Below are 20,873 nucleotides of genomic sequence, written 5' to 3'. Positions count from 1 at the left end.
AGCTTTGCACTGTCTAAATGCACTCTCCTAACCTGATTTGTCATTTGTTCTTGATAGTAAATTATCTGTTCTTAACCAGGTCCTTCTGCCCCCCACCAGAAGAGTGATGTTGTTCTGATCAGCCTTTCCTCAAATTGTTCCATAATGTGGACTATGGGGGTAACCCTGCTAGCTGAAATTCTCCCTCTCTCTGAATCTGACACCTTTTCCACTGTTTCAGCCAATCATCTTTCCCTCATCTGAACTCCTATACAGGAGTGGACTTTGCATCACTCAATTTTTTACTTTGCATACATCAGTAAATGTATTTTAAGTCTCTACCATGTTTTAAACACTAAACTGAATGCTGAGAAGACAGAGTAATGAGAAGTGTTTTCTGTTCTCAGGAAGTACTGAGGCGGAGTAGATGCATAAATAAGCTAGTGCAGTGAGACTCGAAGGGGCTCTAATACATGTCTGCTTTGCATAAAACAACAGGCAAACGATTTTCAGGAGTATTGGAAGGGCAACATAAAGGAAAGAATATTTGTGTTTTCTCTTGATAAATAAATAGATGGTCACTAGAATTGTGCTGTCGGGATAGGTTTATGGGGTGTATATTCTTGGCAGAAGAGACAAGCTGAACAGAAGCAGGGAAAATGGACTAGCAGGTGAAATCTAAGGAACCGCTCTTGTGGGCAGCAGAAGACGTGGGAAGTAAAGGGAGAGCTTGTACCCAGATCTCAGGCGACCTTGTGAGGCATTCCAAGGAGTCTGAATTTTGTTTTGTTGGCAGTGAGGAGGGAACACCACAAAATATGTTTAATTCAGTGAATAACATGTTCAAATTTGAGTTTTAGGATGATCACAAAATCACATATTATTATTTGCTTTTAAAAATATAGATCCAGTCTCTAAATATAAAACAAGTTGTTGGAAGAAAGTGTCTTGGATATGATAGGAGATTTAAAAAAATGCAATTTTTTTTCCTTCATCCTACTGCCAATAAAAGTTAAGTTTTAGTTACCTTAAGCCAGTAGCTTTAAACAGTTGGGCACATATACGTACCATGCACACGCATATATTCTAAACATCAAATCACACAGATTCTGCTTTAAGCAAAGCAAAACAAAAATACTACTAAGCAGTTAAGTGAAAGGATACTACTTACAAGAGATTGAATTTGTCCTTGTAAAAATAGCCTCCAAATTTCATTTACATAAAGAGTTCTCCTCTGGCCCTTGTGTTTGTTTACACATCATCACTTGATGAAGGGGTTGAATAGCTGAGAAAGTAAAGTGCTATAAGCATCTTCACTTAGGGATAAATCCCAATAAAGTTAACACATATTTGAAATGACAATGTAATGAACCATTTCACAGGAACTGACTTCACACACAACTTTTCAAGAATATTATCTGTTACACAGTGGAAGGGAGGTATCCTTGTGTGTGCTGGGACAGCGTAACGGATTGCAGTTCAGGATGTAAGAACAAAGGTTTTACACAACAGGCAACAGAAATGCAACAGTAGATACAACTTAGAAACCGGTTTTACTCTGCTGCAAACAAATGGACAAGATATTGTACAATATGTAATAAAAAGTACAGCATAATACAAGTGCCACTAATAAAAGAAACTTAAGGATAAGACTTAAAAATGCTTATTTGTTATATATATATACACACTGCAATAAAAAGCCACAATAAATACACGAATTTCCATGTCATTCATAATAAATACTGAAAATATAAATACAGAAGACTACAGCTAATATGAATAAATTATTACAACATAAGGTCCAGGTTAAGTTCTGTTGAATATTATTGTAGCTTATTTTATATACCCTTTGGCATTTTTGATGTTATAACTTATACACAAGAGAAATCAATCTAGAAACTGTGTGACATACAACATGACATCTTAATGTAACATGACTGTATGTGTGGACTGGAGTTGATTTTCCTCCTTTTCAACTGTTTTAAGTCATTAGATTGAACATAACTAATAAATATCTATTGAAGTACTGTTGATATTGAGTAAAAGTAACAATAAAAATCAGTTGAAAGATAAAACTAATCATAAGGTCACAAAATACAGTTCAGTGGCTTTTCTGAGTTTTTAAAGTTACTTTTTTTTTTGCCAGCAACAAACAAACAAAAAATAAGAGAACAAATATTCTCAAAAGACTTCCCTTGTGTAAGGACCATTCCCAATATCTGAATGGTTCAACACAGACTGAAGGATAACACCCAAGTCCTTTGGATCATTTGATCTACCAATACATTCAGCTCACTAGATTCCACCAGAATTTGCAAATGTACCAAATTTCTATGGCAGTTGGAAAGTGAGACATAGTTGATGTCTAAAACTATGATCAAGATGAAGACACTGCAAAAAGTGACATATGTCTATGCAACCAATTATACATATTTTTAAAATGGGAAACGTATTTTTGACAAATGTCAAATGATCTATCAAATTGATATACCCTGTGACACTGAGGGAAACACACTGAAAGAACAAAGTGCCATTTTCTGCGTAAACAGGCATTAACCAGTACATATGTATTAAAAGTTCTATCTTAAGAGGCTAGTACACCAGAAATTCAATAAACTAAAAATAAAGCAGATCAACTTTACTAAGACACAATAAAGGCTGAGGTTCTTAGGAACAGAGCTGTAATCTACAGGTTTATTTTTATTTTATTTTTTTACTATTTCTGTACTGTAAATTTCTAGCATTTATTATACATCAAACACTTTTGAAACATGTTTCACAAACTATGCCTCAGACTTATTTCAATAGAGGTGCCTAGAGTCAATTAAAACATGGGCCAAATTTTATTCAACATTCTTTACATGATCATTCTATAGCATTAGCCTTTTTTTTTTTTTTAAATAAAAAAGGTCATTTCCCCCTAGTGTTATTTGTGGGGAGTAACCACACTGATGTGGCTGTCATTTCACAAGAGCATCCGAGTTTGGGAGATATGCAGCTGTACCAAGATTGAAAAAAATCCCATGGAGAAAGGAAACATTGATTTCGGGGGTGTTCCTCATCTTCTGGTGAGTTCTGACTCTGAGTTGGGTGTCAACTCTGAGCAGATAAAAAAGGCTTTGAAAGCTCCAGGGAGTGCTTGAATCAAGTGATGTAACCAGAAAAATCACCATTTCTCCACGACACCTCCCTTCGTTTTCAGGCCTTGTCAAGAAGACAAATTTTTAAATCATTTTCCTGACCCCTGAGAAAGCAGGAAGCCATTGTTTAAATAACACAAGGACAAAGGCTGGGATCAAATGGTGGCTGTGTAAATCTCTGGAGTCATTTTATTCCATCAGACTCTTCACAACTATTCCTATCTCCCACAGGAGGAGTGGAAAAACTTTGGATTCTTATTTGTCATTTTAAGCCAAGGAAAGATTAATGAGAAGGTCATTACTTAGAAGTAAGAATGTAGAAAATGCTTACTTTTTGTAATTGTAACTTCTTAGAAAATGGAACAGCTTAAAAGTCAAGTCATTTGATCCTAGTTCTGATGTTTGTACTGGGGATCTGAAACAGTCACTTTTCCTGACATTACCTACCGACATAAGAGCAATCACAAAAACAAACAACAACAACAGCAAAAATGAAAACCTAGTACAGCCATATTTGTCAAAAGTTGGTCATGTTACAGACCATTGTCTCTGAATCCGTGTCTTTCTTTAAAAATCTGATTTCTTAGGAGACTTATGGAATGATCATATATTAATGTAATAATCACCAAATGTAGGGGGAAACCCAACTTCCCTTGAATCCCCTAGTACAATGGCCCAAATCACCACAACTGTTGCCAGGTGCCTAACCCTCAAAGACTGGCCAAGATATTTTCTTATTGTGAGAAAACCTAAGAGAGCTGAATTGTGTTGCCAAGGAAACTGCCTTCCCTAGAGATGTTAAGAATAGATGGCGATCTCTCCTGTTGGGCATGCCTAAGTGACAGTCTTCCCTGGTGGTAGATCGATGAGCCATATGACCTCTGGAGATCCCTCCTAGTCTCAGGACCATAAATTTGAAGAATATAGAAGAATCTCAAACTTTCCAGTATTCACACACAGTTGGCCATTGTGAGTATCTTTGAAAAGATTAAACTATTCTGAGATCCCCATTTGGCATGACTAGTGCCTAATGAATCAGGGTTCAGATGGTAACCCATGGCAGTGGGCTTTATTTGTTTGAGACACAAATGAAATGACTTTGCCAACTATTACATCTTAAAATCAATCACTTTCAGATATCATTTGGATACCATTAAATAACTCAAGGATCAACACTAAATAAATTAAAAAACAACAACAACAACAACCACCACCAGGCAACAAGTTCCTAGGTTAGATACTTAGGTTTTTCCACTTTAGGGTAATTGAGATTTAGATTTTATTTTTTCTTCTCTTTTTTATTAAATAAAGTTGCAAAAATGTATATAGATCTTTAAATTTGTTTTAAAGAGGGGTGGCTTTTTTAATGGCTAAGGAAAAAAGCTTGGTGACCACATGAAAAGGAGGAGCAAAACAAAATTGGATACAATGTACTACAAAGGTAGAAATTTCAAACTCCTTTTCCATAGGTCCCCTATGTAGAGACAACAGCAAAACCATTATTAGGAAGCCATGTCCCTGACAAGAAGGGTCGGGGGTAGTGGCCTTATCCAGTGTGGCAGTAGGACTTGATGAAGGTCTCTGGTGATACAAGTACCTAGATAAATTTAAAAGAGACATTTTCTAGGTCAATTTTCTTCCAAATACTCATTAATAAATACCTTTTAAGATAATCCCAAGACAGATAAAAATATTGGGAGAAAACCAAAAGAGAAAGGAAAGAGATCCTCTAACAAAGAAGCTACTCTAAAGTTACAACTAAAACTGTTCAATCAGGTCACATAAATTAACTTAGACAATGGCAAGGCTAATTTCTACCATAAATTTGTCTCCTTCTAACCCTTTCTAATCAATATACATTATCTTAAAAATATTTAAATGGCCTCACATGTCACTAAAATGAGTTAACGAATGAACTTAACTATCACCGTGGTAATGATAAAGAGAGGAGTTACATCATTAGCATGCTGAATACAAATGTTATCCAAAATAAATTCTATCACATTCCTTTGAAACTTTAGTCCTGCCAGAAACTTTTATGAGAGATGACATAAAGTGACACAGTGAAGTTGACATTTCTTGAATTATAAGCCAATGCAAAGGATCAAATTTATAAAAGCAATTACCCTGTATAGTGATATATTTATCACAAGTAAAAGAAAGTAGTCACCAACGTGACTTACATCTTTGAAATGACCTCATTTCCCATGGATACAACAAGTATCTGTATTTACTAAAATTCCAGGCTAGATGTGAATATTTAAAAAATCTACATATAAAAGTAAACTGAAACATATTGTTTTAGGCTTTGAATCTGGTCGTATTCACTCTCCTGGTTCCCATCATTCTACTGGCATTACCACTCTCAGGATAGGAAACCCAAGGCATGCCAAGACAGCACAGACTTAGACTAGCCTGAGAACTGATCACCAGGTAAAACACAGGTCATATCAAATGTTTCAGCTTGAATTTCTGGAAAAAAAGAATAAAACAAAACAACTGCATTGTTTAGGAAGGGGGTCTCATGGTCCAGTTTGAAAAAGCCAAGAAAGGAGTCAAAATAAAATTTAGAAGTGACTGTTTTAAGGACTCACGTTGAATATCTAGATTTGGTAGGTAAAATGTGAAAGAAGAGCTTTTTTAAATGTCTGCACTTTTTACTTTTGACAATCATGAAAGTCATTGATCACTTATTTTAATATAAAATGTGTTTAAATTTTTTAACAAAATAGTTTCTTTAGAATGCTGTAGGTGTGTGTTTTTATTTTCTAAAGCATCAAATGACTTACAGACTGTAAAAATGTAATTGATATGAATGTTGGTCAGCAGATGTGAGCACCAACTGGGCTGAAAGGGTGTCCACATTGTAACTGCCCCTTCTAGGTTTGGGGCTGCCATTTGTAACTCTAGTCTTTATGATGTAATAAGATCTGGCTTAGCTCTGCTGAGCTTTTTTTTTCATAATTCCTAGAAGACACCACCACTTATTAAGCTTTTATTGCGTCCTCACTTCCACTCTGATACTTCCATAATTCTAGTGGGTATTAAAATTGCTGATATTCAATTAAGTCAATCAAATTCTTTACTACTATAGAAAACATCTGATGAGCTGTGCTGTTGGTGCAGAGCTACAGCATTTTGGCTTAGGCATTTTTGTTATTCCAGCACTAGTTAGCAGATTTCAGAAAAAGTAATGCAATCAGAAGGTGAAAATTCATATTAGACCTAATATAGAGTAATCAAGCCTTTAAACTTTGGGTTTTGGTTGTGGTAAGAATACAACCAACAGTTCTAATTTAAAATTACAGACAAGTCTTGCCTTTGAAAGCACAAAGGTGCTTCCCATTAAAGCCTGGTATTTAATACACTGGCTATAATGGCACTGCAAACTGTCATCAAGAGAATAAGGAACAGAGATGCCATTTTAAAGAGAAATATTGAGTTGTTTGGAGAAATAGAAGGCTTCATGACACCTTTTAAAAAGGCAGTCTCCTGTTGGCTTCTGAGAATATAAATTTTCCACCTGCTAATTTGATGGTTTGTAACTCCAGCTGAAAGTGATGGAGTCTAACAACCTCTCTGTTTTCCACCTGCTGCAAAGTGATGTCTTTGGAATTTGCAACAGGATTTTGCTGTTTTGATAGGCTTTTTATAAATAGAAGTAAGAGTGATTGTGTTCCACACTGTTGTCTTAAAAGTTTCCTGAAATGTTTCCTGGGTTATGCATGAGTCAAATCCTCCTTGAAACTGTCTGATAGGAGTTTGCTGGTGTAAATTTAGCATCACTTATATAGGTCTAACATTGAAGAAGCAATTAATCGAAAATTTCTTTTTCATTTGATTCAGTCCTAGCTGAGTCCTGATTTAATTCATACATTTCAGATGGAGGGAGAGAGATGAAGGGCGATCCAGTGAGTTCTATAATTTAGGTAAAGGAAGCATCTTTTAGTTGCAGCTCACATATAATTAGACAAGAACTGATGTCAGTTTTTCTAATGTCACTTGATAAAATCACATATTAAGAGGATTTGAGAAAGCTTGATTATTTCATGCCACCCTTCATTAATATTATCCATTATAATTTGTAGTGTTCCCCTCTTTTTACTACCCAAGACAGTTGTTCTAACACAGCATGTGTTCAGTACATATTTGTTGAAAGAAAGAATTGATACTTAATAAATTTTGAATATAAAGACCAAAGAGTCATAAACTTGTGCAACAATATCAAAAATTGAAATAAAAGAAACAGTGATTAGCAAGTTATAGAAAGTAAATCATGGTATGTTTTCCTGTTTAATGGTAATCATACCAAAATTTTGCCTAGAAGTCATCTATTAGAATGTAAAATTTTAAAGAACATAGCCACTTAACATACTCTCTTTGCTTCTTGATTAATTCGTAACTAGTGTTTTTGCAACTCATAGTTTTTTTTTGGAGGGAAGGAATTCAGGGAGTATTGCAGGGCCATATATGATTGTGAAGATTTTAAACATACTAAGAAACATTAGTTTCACATTTTACATGTGGCTGTCACATTGAGAAAATGGTTTTATCACAAAGAAATGATGGGCTTTCAAAAAGTAACTATATTATTCAATCAACCAAAAGACATGAGACAAATGAATTTTACCCATGTCTTAATAATTAATGATCAAGAGATAAGGAGGAAAAACTTAAGTAAATCTCTTTCATTGACTTCTCCCAAAGGAAATTGGGAATGACAAAGGAGATGCAAGCTGCTTCAGCCACTTGACTTTCAAATCAATTCGGCCAGGATTATAACTGGGAATTAAGTCCCATTTAAAGGTATAGGACTGGTACTAGAATAGCCAGGGCTGGAGCATGAAGCTTTGCAATTGATAGTGAATGACTAAAAAGTTGTGTGTCAAAGACTACAGTTTGGCTAGATATACTATGGAGGCAATACAACAGCTGCAGGTCAGGTTATTGTGTCTTGGCATAAAGATCTTAAGTATTCCAACTGGCTGCATGTAGCTTGATCCCCATTTTTAAAAGCTTAGAAGGACTGTAGCACTTTCCTGGCATGTGGGCAGCTCTTTGTTGAATAGAACGGCTATTAATGGAAAAAAAAGTCAGCTGGAACAGTGTGCTCTCTCAGCTTTTCTGGGAAAGGAACTAAAAATGAAATGATTCCATCATAAGTATGTTTGCAACTTTGACCTGATATTTTCAAACTACAGCTCTACCAATTATCCTCTTTTCTAAACCACATTTTTTTAGATCATAAAGCCCAACCAGATTCTGGGGTTAGAAAAACTCAATACTGACTATTGGCCATTGCCTGAAATCTGTCATTCTCTAAGTGTGTGATATGTATATATTTTGTATGTGTGTGCATGTGTATGTGTTAGGTATATGGGAGAGTTTTAATAGGTAGCCTGTGTATGTGGTTTGTGGGATATGTTTACAGGTTAGTCAGGTATATGAAAAGTTGGAATAGAAGCTGTCATGATTGGAAGGGTAATTCTTCTCACAGGGCAGTGACTTTCTACCCTAGATAAATGGATAGGGGAAAAAAACTCTGTTTTCTTAAGCATCCTTTTGGAAACAAAGCTAGAAAACAAAGACCTAGCCAAAAATAAAAAAGTAGGCTTCATATCGTCTTAGGAAAATAAAGCTGAACTAAAATTAAAATATCTCTTTTCAGAAACTGGACTGTCATTCTACCCTTCAGCTTTGCTCAGGCTGGAGCTGGCTCTTCCCCACTCTCCCACACTCTGTGTTCCAAGAATAACCTCAGAGTACTTCACAAGCAGATCCTTCAAGAGCTTGTAATGGTCCAGCAAATACAGTACACATGATCCTTTCATGTGCTTGAATGAAGGAACAATAGCCTCTTGTCATTTTCTCTTTGGGCCTGTGCTCTTTAGATTGTATCAGTAGGGGGAAAATTTTGGAGATTAAGCACTAAAAACTGTCACTTTGCAGACAACATGGGATATATATATATACACACACACACACACACACACACACATACATATATGTGTATATATATGTGTATGTGTGTGTGTGTGTGTATATATATATATATATATATATATATATATATATGTATATTTGAGATTTCAACAAATCCTCATTCTGATTAGCCCAAAGGGCCAATCATTCAAAAGGAACAACCCTGCTCTCATTACTGCAACCTACATAAAGACAAACCCAAAGCTCTTTTAATGTTAATATTAAGAGTTATAAATTTGGCCCAATGTAGGGGGGAAGAGAAGGGGCAGAAACCAACTGCACAGTGGAAGAGCTGCCAAGTAAACATTTTTTCCCCAAAACAAAGTTTAGTAGAAACTTTTCCACTGGAGGACTTTCTCTAGATCAAGCATTTTTAAGTTCAATTAAATAAAATATTTTTTTTAGAAATTGAGATCTACAATATATTTATATCCATAATTCTAAACACCCAAGTCTAAAAGACATAAAAAATAAGTAGCGATGCAGTCACTGAATAGCAAGTCATGTCCGCATTTCAAATAGTTATAAAACATGTGAAGTGATATAACAATAGAAGGTCAAAAATATGAAACAGGTTTAGCATAGTCATATTGCATTGGAAAAAAAAAGGCAGAATTACACTATTTAGTTACCTAAATTAATTTACAGGGAAACGGGATCCTAGAAGTCCTCCGACGAACCAAGTGCAGGTAATCTAAAGGTGGGGAGTGCATGTTTTATTTCTATCTGTTCTCTTTAATAAGAGAATGTGAGGTAATTAGAAAGTATGCAATGCATTCTGGACTGTTCTGCTAGTTGTCCCAGGCAAGACAAATCAAAATGCTTCAGAAAAGAAAGGCCTAGTTGAGTATTTGGGTAGAGGCCCCCCTTCAATCAGCTAGTCACTAAGTGGAAATCTCATTATACACTGATTTTGTAGAGATGGATTGATCACGCTGGAGAAAAGGCTGGTTGCTGAGGTCGTGTCTCTTCCATGTTTCCTCAGCCTCCTCTGCATTTACTGAGTTAGGTCCTCAGAGTGGTGAAGGAAAATAGGTCATTTTCCCTTCATAAGTATCATTGGATGATTCCTCTATATTAATTATATGAACCTTATAATAGTTAAAGATCTTTTTAATTTTTTTTTAAATTTTTTCATCTCAAAGAGTTCTCAGTCCCCACCCCACACGAGGTACCGTGAAGGGGCACTAAAGTGCATTTTGATGTAGGGGGTAGAGCTTAAAGGTGCTGTCCAAGCTAAGAATCAAGATGATGCTGTTTAAAAAAGAAAGGCAATTCCTTCTACCTCCATCTCTGGAGTCAGCTGAGGGAGGGCAGTGAACTAGACTCTCCCCAGAGGATTGTCCTAACTCTTAACTTTAGAGAAAACTGTGTAAGGACCTGCACATATAGAATCATTTATTTGTCCAAAATAGCAAAAATAGGCCTATTTCACCCTTAAGAATTTGCAAATCTGATCAGTCATGATCATAAAAATGTGAATGGATTCCAGATGCAATCCATGTGGGCATGCTCTGTGGAACTAGCTATGCATCTTCAGCTTGAATGAACATGCGGCTGTTCATTTTCATCAAAACATGTCTTCTAAACTACCATAAATAAAATACACATGGAACAATTAAATCTTTTTCTTACAATAATTACTTTTACATTAAAAAGTCATCATTATCTTCAGATATATTGAAAATTAGGACTCTAAATCTTATTATTTCCCAGCCTTAGTTAACAATCTTGCACAGGCCCGATAATCCAAAATTTGGAGCTCTGATCTACACAGATTGGCAGGTTTCACACAGTTTGACAGGTAGGCAACTGTGAGATATGCATTTTAAAATTTAGCTTTTTCTATCAAAACAGTCTGAAATCTTTTAAAATCCCTACAGAGACTGTATTTGTGCAATGCCACAGTCATGTGGCTAGAAAGGAAAAAACAAAATACAGTCTGGAAGATTAACCACCGTCCAAGTTTTCTTGGTCTTCAGTTTAAACAATGATGAGCCCAGGAAATCCAATTAAATACAGTGCCTTAAATAAGAGAAGAGTTGGTCCTAGAATAATTTAAGCTACTAAACAGGGACTGTCTCAACCACGGGTGATTTGATGCACTCTTCATGCAATATGCTCTTTTCTGCAAGGCTCAAAGAATTTTCAGCAGGATGCTCTGAAATGTGACTGTCACCATTCAATGCAGAGACAAACCCTTCTTGGGAGGGGCCTTTCAAGTATGAGTGAAATTCCACTTGAGGGTGATTGGACCTGTGTTCAGGATATAAACTATTGCAGGGCACACCGCTATCATTTTCGGAAGAGGAGCAGCAAACGATTACAGAGGGGTTGGCAGCTGGGTAGTGGGAGGCACCATAGGCCTCTTCTGCTTGTCGGGCATAGTCAACGAATTGCTCCGGGGTCATGGTGTAAGGCACCAGCGAAAGGGTACCATTTTTGACAGTGTCTCTTTCAGAATAGTTCTCAGAGATCTGATTTGGAGTTCCTGGAATGTGGCTATCTATTTGGTAATACAGAGTTGAAGAGTTGGCATAAAAAGAAGCATTCTTTGCATGGCTTTCGTGAACGGCGGTGCCATCAGAATAACAAAGAACTGAAGGAAGAGGGACAACTTCGGCATGGGTGCCCAAACCTTCCACGAAGCCATCTCCTTTGTCATCATCGTCATCCTCCTCCTCCTCTTCCTCTTCTTCTTCCTCCTCCTCCTCGTCTGACTCACTAGGTGCCAAGCTTTGCGTGCTAGAATCTGTGACTCCGCTGCAAAAGCTGCTCCCATCCTCCTCTTCTTCCTCCTCCTCTCCTTGGCAATCTAATTCTTCAGCCGACTGCAGGTGCAGCACTGCAGCCTGGGGCTCAGTTTCAATCTCAAAACTGTCTGCGATTGAATATTCTACGGAGTGAGCGACAGGGCCCATAGAACTACTGTGAGCACTTATCTCACTGTGGCAGCCATTCAGCGTGGGGATTTGCTGCTCTCGGTTTTTCTCCAGTTCAAGTTTCATTATTGTGTGCAAAAAGTGAGTCCGAACACGGATAGGATTAAATTCAATTCTACCTGCTGTGTTACTACATCCTTCTTTAGTGCAGCCGCATGGGAAAGACATACGATCCACCTTGGAAGGAAGAACACAGATTAGCACCATGGAACTATTACAAACCAAATAAACGCCCAGAACTTTTCAGTAACTTCTTTGAATTAAGTAATCCATCCACTTAATTCCACATATGCCAGAGCAAATGACAACCAAACTTCAAATAGAAATGAAAAGGGGAAAGTGAGGGCTTAAAACATAAGAGTTAACTGCTTTTTATACCTATATTCAAAATAAAAATGGGTTATGGGCATAAGTGTGTATTTTCAGTTCACTGACCCACTCCATGGCTTTCTACCCTTTTTTCTGTATTCCCTACTTTCCCTTCCCTCCACTTCTTTAATTTTGCTCCCATGTTTTGAATGCTCCTGTCTTTCCCCCAAGTTCCTTTTCTTTCTGCTGCACCCCAGCTCTTGTGCCTGATTTTAAACAAGCAAACTTACTGTACTCCTCTCCACATGCTATTAATCTAACATATATGATGTACCCCATGTTAACTTTTCCTTTTGCTTTTGCTTATTATAAAGGTGCTTTTCCCTTTGCTTATTATAAAATGGACTTACACAACTTAGCATCATGCAACCTCACAATTTGCTCTCATTTGCTTACCTTCTTATTGTTTGGGGTGCTTGGTACATGGGTGCATGTGTGTGTACTGTACTGGAGCGCTGCAATGGATATGCACATTCATGACTATGACTGGGGGACTCATGTGTTTAGGTCCTGAGTCCCCCCTTCCCTCTCCATTCCATTAGATACAATCTTCTTGAAGGAAGGGCATGTACGTTTCATCAATATTCCAAAACTATTTTGGTGATTGGATACCGAAGATAGAGTGTTTGGGTTCAACAAGTGTTGGACTGACCTCTTCACTCAGGTGAGAGGTGGGGTTCTGGACAATCCAAGGGTATTCATGAGAGATTTACCAATTGTCTCAGATTCCACAGATTAATCTGTATGCAGACCAGAGTATAGGCAAGAGAAAAAAACTTGCTCTGCTTGTCACCTTATCCAGCCATGGAATTTCCTATGCTAAAGAAGAGAAGGCAGACTATTCTAATACAATCATCTTGGCCCCAGTAAAAAGTATAGCAGATATTAGAGCCAGAATTTGTATCTGTATTTTTTTTTTTTTTTTACTCATGAATCTTTCTGTGAACCCATCTTAAGCAACTGTTCAGCAGATAGGCACTGCCCTCTTCTTTTGACTACCTGAGTTGCTTTCCTTATTGAAAAAGCCAAGTTTCTGCATAAAATAGTGACACTAATCATAGCGCACCAATGACATTATAAATGAAGGGGGACCAGGAAATTATCTGATTGCCAGTCATCAGGGGTTGGTAAACTTTTTATTTGCAGAGGTCAAAGGAGTCAATATTTTATGCTTTGTGGGCCATATGGGCTCTGTGGCAACCACAATACTCAATTCTGCTGTAGGAGCAAGAAAGCAGTCATAGGCAATATGTAAAGAAAAAAATGTGGCTGTGATCCAATAAAACTTTATTTACAAAATCATGTGGCAAGGTCGGATTTGGCCTGTGAACTTATAGGGTGCCAACCCCTGACCTAGTTCGGTTCCTTCATTTTAGAGATAAAGAAAGTAACCCAGTGGGCCTGACTTGCCAATTTCATATAGTTGGCAAACAGCAAAGATGGAAGTACAATTTCATTTTCTGCAGTCTCAATCTAGTAATTTTTCCACTAATCCAACCACCTTTAATCAATCATCATTTTATATCCCATGGATGGATCAGAAAATACACACTCCAGTGTTAGGGATGTCATGATCTCCTTCAACATTGGTAAAAAGCTGAAATAAGGTGATATAATACAAGAATCCAAGATAAAATAATTTTAATTAACTCAGCTGCTACTTGGGTTGTCTTTCAGATTATATGTTATATGTATAAGCATTTTATGTATTCCCATGAATGGCCTTAAATTAGTCTTTCTCTCTTCCTGAATTATGTCTTTCTTCCTGAATTACATGTCTTGCCTTGCCAAAAAATTTTCTTTTACATGTGGGAAGCTTCATTATAGGTACCATGACTGCCTCCTTAGGGGGTGGTAGACAATGTCTTGTCTTTGGATGCCCTGAATTCCCAACCCTTACCTGGCACTTAATGCCAGCCAGGCTGCAGGTGCACGTGTCTGGATCACAGAACACTCGGCAGTCACAGCCACAGTCCTCTCGTGAGAGGCGGATGGCTCGGAGTTCGTGCTTTTCTTCCACGTCAATCTTTTTCACTCCAGAGGCACGCAGCAGAGCTCTTCGTTTTTTTGTTGGCAAAGGTTGTAGGAAGAAGTACTCATCTACCTCTGTGTTGTCCAGGTCAATGTCATCATCAGAAATGTCATCCAGTGTAAGAGTGCTGGCTTCTTCTGATTCTACTGTGCCATTCTTAGTCATCTAAAAACACAAAGCAGCAAATAAGAGACTCATTAAGGGCAGGGTACAAAATCTGTATGTTTGTACTGGGTGAGAATGAACTATTATATATCATCATGTCCTCATAATCAACAAGTGTTTGTTAGATCATTTTTTTAATCTTTAGGAGAAATCACAGAAAGAAAAATAAAGGCATCAAAATGTTAGGCTTTTAAATGTACGGGTAACAGAAGACTGTTAATTGGAACTCATAAACTCCTAATGTTAGGAGCTACAGTTGTTGGAGCTTTTAGAGAGTGCTATGTGAAAAACACCAAAGGTTACAAATGCTCATCAGTGAAAACTATCTTTAGACTCATTTCATGATAGGCAGCTCCAATGTTGGAATAAATGTGTCCTTGTTCAGAGATAATAGCATCCTTGTGGAAGCCATCACCACCTAACTCAGCAAATATGTTGTCCTTGAAATAACAACTCTGTCTTTTGAGTTCCAGCAAAACCATACACCAGGAAATAAAGGTGTGCTGCACTGTGCTACAGGGATTACAAATATGATTATTCTACAGAACATTCCAAGAATGAGGGCTTGATATGAAGTAATCAGTCAGGTCAGCATGCTCTTAGTAAGACAAAGAACAGAGGGCAGGGCCCTCAAGCTCTCAGCAACCAACAGCTGAAACAATAAACTCTGCCCTCAGAGGAGTTCACACAAACCCTCACCCAAAATGGTACCTTCTGCATAATAGCTCATGTGGAAACGGTCTCACATACACATGATTAGTCTGCTTCTATTTATATTTCTTCTCTAAATTAATCTCATCCATCAGTAAGCCCTGAATAAGTACTTCATTTCTTACTATTGTATCACGTTATGTTTCCTTCATAAAAAAGCATTTAGAAAAAGAAGTTTTCTCTGAATATGAGCAAGATATCTACCCTGAGGAGCAGCATAGAATTAATGCAGAAACTCCATGAGAAAAATCATGGAAGTTCTAAATACAGAAGGGATTTTAATTCTTTCATATTTAAATTTATCACTTCCTAAAATTTATTAATTATAATTATTACTATGCTTGGTGAGCTTAACAACAGTTCATCCATCACACACTTAAAATACTTGCAACATCAGACATCATTGTCTCATCTTTACAGGAAAAAGTCTAACATTCAGATAAGAATTTTTATTAGAAAAAATCCTCAAACTGGAAAACTCTGAATGTATTAAAAAACAAATAGAAGATTGGACTTTGCCCTCAAGCAGAGAAACTTTCATAGAGGAAATAACACACTAGCAAGTGTATATACTAAATATATCACAAAGGCCAGGTGCAGTGGCTCGTGCCTGTAATCCCAGGACTTTGGGAGTCCAAGGTGGGCAGATTGCTTGAGGCCAAGAGTTCAAGACCAGCCTGGGCAACATGATGAAACCCCATCTCTATCAAAAATTCACAAAAATTAGCTGGGCATGGTGGTGGGTGCCTGTAGTCCCAGCTGCTTGGGAGGCTGAGGTGCAAGGATCACTTGAGCCCGGGAGGTCAGGCTGCAGTGAGCCATGATTGCACCACTGCATTCCAGCCTGGGTGACAGAGTGAGACCCTATTTAAATAAATAAACAAATTATATATATATATATATATATATATATATATATTCAGAAGTATTTATATATATATGAATACTTTATAAGGTATAAATATATATATTTTATTTATATATATATATATGTTTCAGAGTTAAAATCTGTGATCATGAAAAGGTACACATTCCTCTTTATTGGGTTTTGTCTCTTGGTATAATCTAAAATTTATTTCCTTCCTTGGCATTTCTTTACATATGTATTGTTTAAACTGTGATAGCCACTAGTAGGATGTCACATTGACTGGTTGTGTTTGTCGTTTTTGTTAATTGTTATTTGTAACAAGCTGCATGTTTTTAGCTGTAAAGATCTGATTTTCTAAGGAATTCAAGTTATAATTGCCTAACATACACTCGATCCTCTGTGATAGGTAAAGCTGTAGTAACAGAAAGGAAGTGTTCCCTTTTACATCTTACCACTGTATGGCACTTTGGTTTGTTTTCATTAATTCTTGGCTTGTCTCTGTGAACCTCAGCAAAGTCCTGACTCCTCAGCACATGTAGCACACCCAGGACTTGGGTAGCATGATTCCCTTTAATACTTCCTACTTAATCTCCACGTTCTGTAATATTTATGCTTACTTGTGCAGTTGGTAACATTACAACAACAAAATCTCCATTTTATATCAACAGAGATTGATTTATTTTTATTTTATTTTATATTTATTATTTTTTTTGAGATGGAGTCTAGCTCTGTTTCCCAGGCTGGAGTGCAATGGCACAATCTCGGCTAGCTGCAATCTCAGCCTCCCAGGTTCAAGTGATTCTCCTGCCTCAGCCTCCTGAGTAGCTGGGATTACAGGCGCCTGCCACCATGCCCAGCTAATTTTTGTATTTTTAGTAGAGATGGGGTTTCATCCTGTTGGTCAGGCTGGTCTCGAACTCCTGACCTCAGGTGATCCACCTGCCTTGGCCTCCCAAAGTGCTGGGATTACATGCATGAGCCACCTCTATTTTTTAAAAATGGTTATCAGCCTAATTTTTAAAAAATGGTTGTTATCAGATAATATATGAAATCTAAAAGTCAACATGTAGTAAGATTTTAGCAAATATTTAAAAACATCAAAATTTTTAGGGCAACATGAATAACCAATTCGTGCCTAAGAATTAAAAAACAAACAACTGTATGTCATATGAACTGCAGATTCAGTTTACTCCAAATATAAGTGCCCTTAGAAGTAAAATTTGCATCTCTTATTCCTGCATACTAAAATTAGAATAAGGAATTTCATTTCAAAATAAAAATTTAATTAAGAATCTGGCCAGCTGTGGTGGCTCATGCCTGTAATCACAGCACTTTGGTAGACGGAGGCAGGCAGATCACTTGAGGTCAGGAGTTCGAGACCAGCCTGGGCAACATGGCAAAACCACATCTCTGCTAAAAATACAAAAATTAGCCAGGCATGGAGGGGTACACCTGTAATCACAGCTACTCATGTGACTGAGGCACGAGAATCACTTGAACCTGGGAGGCAAAGGTTGCAGTGAGACAATATTGCACCATTATAATATAGCCTGAGTGACAGAGTGATGCCCTGTCTCAAAAAAAAAAAAAAAAAAAAAAAAGAGCTACATACTGTTTCACTCTTGCTCAATAAACTATAAGTTTTCTAATCTAGATTTTCAAAATCTGACATTAACATTGAAGTGAGCTGGCAGGGTTTTGTCTTCATCATCTCAATATCATCTCTATCATTTCTAATAAAGACTGGAGATACTCTAGCTTAGGCTGGTCACTGGCCTATCCTCTCCTCCTCACAGTTTCTGGTTTGGTGTGTAGCCTTCGAGACATATTCCTATTCCCTGCTATCCCCTTGAAGTCCTTCCCCAGTCTTTTCTTCCAGTCTGTGCCCATTTGCTTCTTTAAAAACCAGGCCAAAACTACTGAGTTCAAATGCTCTTTAAAATCAGAGCACTACATAGATTATTTCCAAATGCATTTTAGGGGAAAAAGTCAATGAGCTCCCTAATTTTGTCCACCCACTCACATCAATTACCCTCTCAAGAGCTAGTGTGAATAAATGGAGGCAGTCAGCCAGGATTGCCTCACTTACTCTTGCTGACTCCTTTCCTCCATGATGCATGATATGGTCTGGCTGTGTCCCCAACCAAATGTAGCTCCCATAATTCCCGCATGTTGTGGGAGGGACCCAGTAGGAAATAATTGAATCATGGGGGTGGTTTTTCCCATACTTTTCTCACCATAGTGAATAAGTCTCATGAGACCTGATGGTTTCATAAGGGGAAACCCTTTTAGCTTGGTTCTCATTCCCTATTCACCTGCTGCCATGTAAGATGTGCCTTTCATCTTCTGCCATGATTGTGAGGTCTCCCCAGCCACGTGGAACTGTGAGTCCATTAAACCTCTTTTTCTTTATAAATTACCCAGTCTCAGGTATGTCTTTGCCAACAGCATGAGAACAGACTAATACAGTAAACTGGTACCAGGAGTAGGGTGATGATGTAAAGATACCTGAAAATGTGGAAGCAACTTTGGAACTGGGTAATAGGCAGAGGTTGGAACAGTTTGGAGAGCTCAGAAGAAGAGAAAAAAATGTGGGAAAGTTCAGAACTTCCTAGAGATGTAGAGGGCTCAGAAGACAGGAAAATGTGGGAAAGTTTGGAATCTCCTAGAGACTTGTTGAATGGCTTTGACCAAAATACTGATAGTGATATGGACAATCAAGTTCAGGCTGAGGTGGGCTGAGATGAAGATGAGGAACCTGTTGGCAACTGGAGCAAAGGTGACTCTTGCTGTGCTTTAACAAAGAGGCTGGTGGATTTTTTCCCCGCTCTAGAGATATGTGGAACTTTGAACTTGAGAGAGATGATTTGGGTTATCTAGTGGAAGAAATTTCAAAGCAGCAAAACATTCAAGAGGAAGCAGAGCATAAAAGTTTGAAAAATGCACAGCCTGACAATCCAATAGAAGAGAAAAACCCATTTCCTGGGGAGAAATCAAGCCTGACACAGAAATTTGCATAAGTAACAAAGAGCTGAATGTTAATCATCAAGACAGTGGGGAAAATGTCTCCAGGGCATGTTGGAGACCTTCACAGCAGCCCCTCCCATTACAGTCCCAGAGGCCTAGAAGGAAAAAATGGTTTCCTGGGCCTGGCCCAGGGCCCCCCTGCTATGTCCAGCCAAGGGATGTGGTGCCTTGTGTCTCAGCTGCTCCAGCCATGGCTAAAAGGGGTGAAGTTACAGCTCGGGGCATGGCTTCAGAGGGTGCAAGCCCCAAGCCTTGACAGCTTCCATGTGCCTTTGTAAGATATGCCTTTGACCTTCTGCCATGGTTGAGAGGCCTCCCAGCCAAATGGAACTGTGAGTCCATTAAACCTCGTTTTCTTTATTAATACAACCCATCTTCATTCACAGTGGTATTCATTTTGTCCATTTTTTTCCTCTTGACATGATGCTACCTTTAAAATCTTTTTTTCTATCTCAAATAGAATCATTAAATGTTCAGACTTTAGTTAGTCAAATGCAACATCCTTATTTCATGCATTAATGAAGCTTAAATTAATTGTAACTTCTCTAAGACATACTTACAGAGCCCAATTTCCTGACTCCTCTTTCAGTATGCTTTTCTTTATATCTCACAGATAGATTATGAGTTTTCTATGGTACTCAAGACAAAGCTGGGAATTTAACATGGAATTAAACACAATGTGTCTAAAAGCTAGTCTGTTGATAGGATAACCAGCACTTTCAAATGAATGCTCTCTTCTCAAGTAGATACTGCCAATCTGGGACTTGAATCATTTCTCCTGTAGTGTTTTCTTTTTCTTTTTTTTTCAAAAAAATAATGTTGCCTCCCCAAGAGCTCAAAGCAAGTCTGCAAAAAATGTGATTTAAAGAGATTACCAAATAGCCTTGACTCTTAAATCTGTTTTTATTTCTGTGTTTTCTTGAGTGTGAAAGAAAGAGAAATTGCAGGTGGGGGTTAAAGAAGTGGTAGAAGCAGATATGACATAATATTAATAACAGCTTTCGCATCTGTGTGCCAGGCACTGTTCTAAACACTTTACCTGCATTAGTTCATTTAGGATCATATACATCTCATGAGGCAAATACTATCATTGTATTCATTTAACTGATGAGGAAAATGAGGCACAGGAATGTTAAATAATTTGCCCAAGATTGCAAGTAATGAGGATGTGCATCAAGTTACGACCCTACTATGTGACTCTACAGCTTGTGCTCTTAAAAGTAGTAATAATTACATATATCTATTCTTTTAATACACTTAACAGGTACTGAACAATCTTTTATGATTATTTGGAATCAGGCATTAGGTGTACTGGTGCACAACATACAGCCCTTGATCCCAATGAACTGGAGTAAAGAGACAAGGAGTCTAGTAATTTTAACCTAGTTCATAAGGATTTCCTAGCTTAGGGTGAACATGGGGCATTTGAGGGTTATGTAGGAGGGTGGCAGTGGGGCTGGCAGTGGGGTGAAGTGGGAAGACTTCAATATTCAAATCTGAAAATAGAGTAGCAGTTAAATGAACAGTGGTGACAGAAGGCATTCCATGCTGAGCAACAATAGTTTCAAAGGCCTGAGATAGGACAGAGCATGATACAGTCATTGACCTATAAATTATCCAGATGATTGAACTTGCATGGGATCACTCCCTGTCTTGGT

The 20,873-nt window shown here is 37.6% G+C and overlaps 1 protein-coding gene across 6 annotated transcripts in view; it reads right to left on the bottom strand.

Annotated features, from left to right (window-relative positions):
• Positions 1 to 1,513: 1,513 nt before the first annotated feature.
• Positions 1,514 to 20,873, bottom strand: part of CSRNP3 (cysteine and serine rich nuclear protein 3) — a 219,710-nt gene continuing 200,350 nt past the window's right edge. For all 6 annotated transcript variants that reach the window (XM_047445908.1, XM_024453155.2, NM_001172173.2 and 3 more), the window contains 2 exons: positions 14,313 to 14,609; positions 1,514 to 12,220 (listed from right to left, as the gene is read on the bottom strand). In XM_047445908.1, coding sequence (XP_047301864.1) covers positions 11,168 to 12,220; positions 14,313 to 14,609 — 1,350 coding nt within the window. In that variant the 3' untranslated portion in view covers positions 1,514 to 11,167. The remainder of the gene's footprint in view (positions 12,221 to 14,312; positions 14,610 to 20,873) is intronic.

Source organism: Homo sapiens, chromosome 2 (genome assembly GCF_000001405.40).
Source record: "Homo sapiens chromosome 2, GRCh38.p14 Primary Assembly".
NCBI lineage: Eukaryota > Metazoa > Chordata > Mammalia > Primates > Hominidae > Homo > Homo sapiens.
Note: the sequence above shows the minus strand (reverse complement) of the source record. Positions and strands in the feature narration are given on the sequence as shown.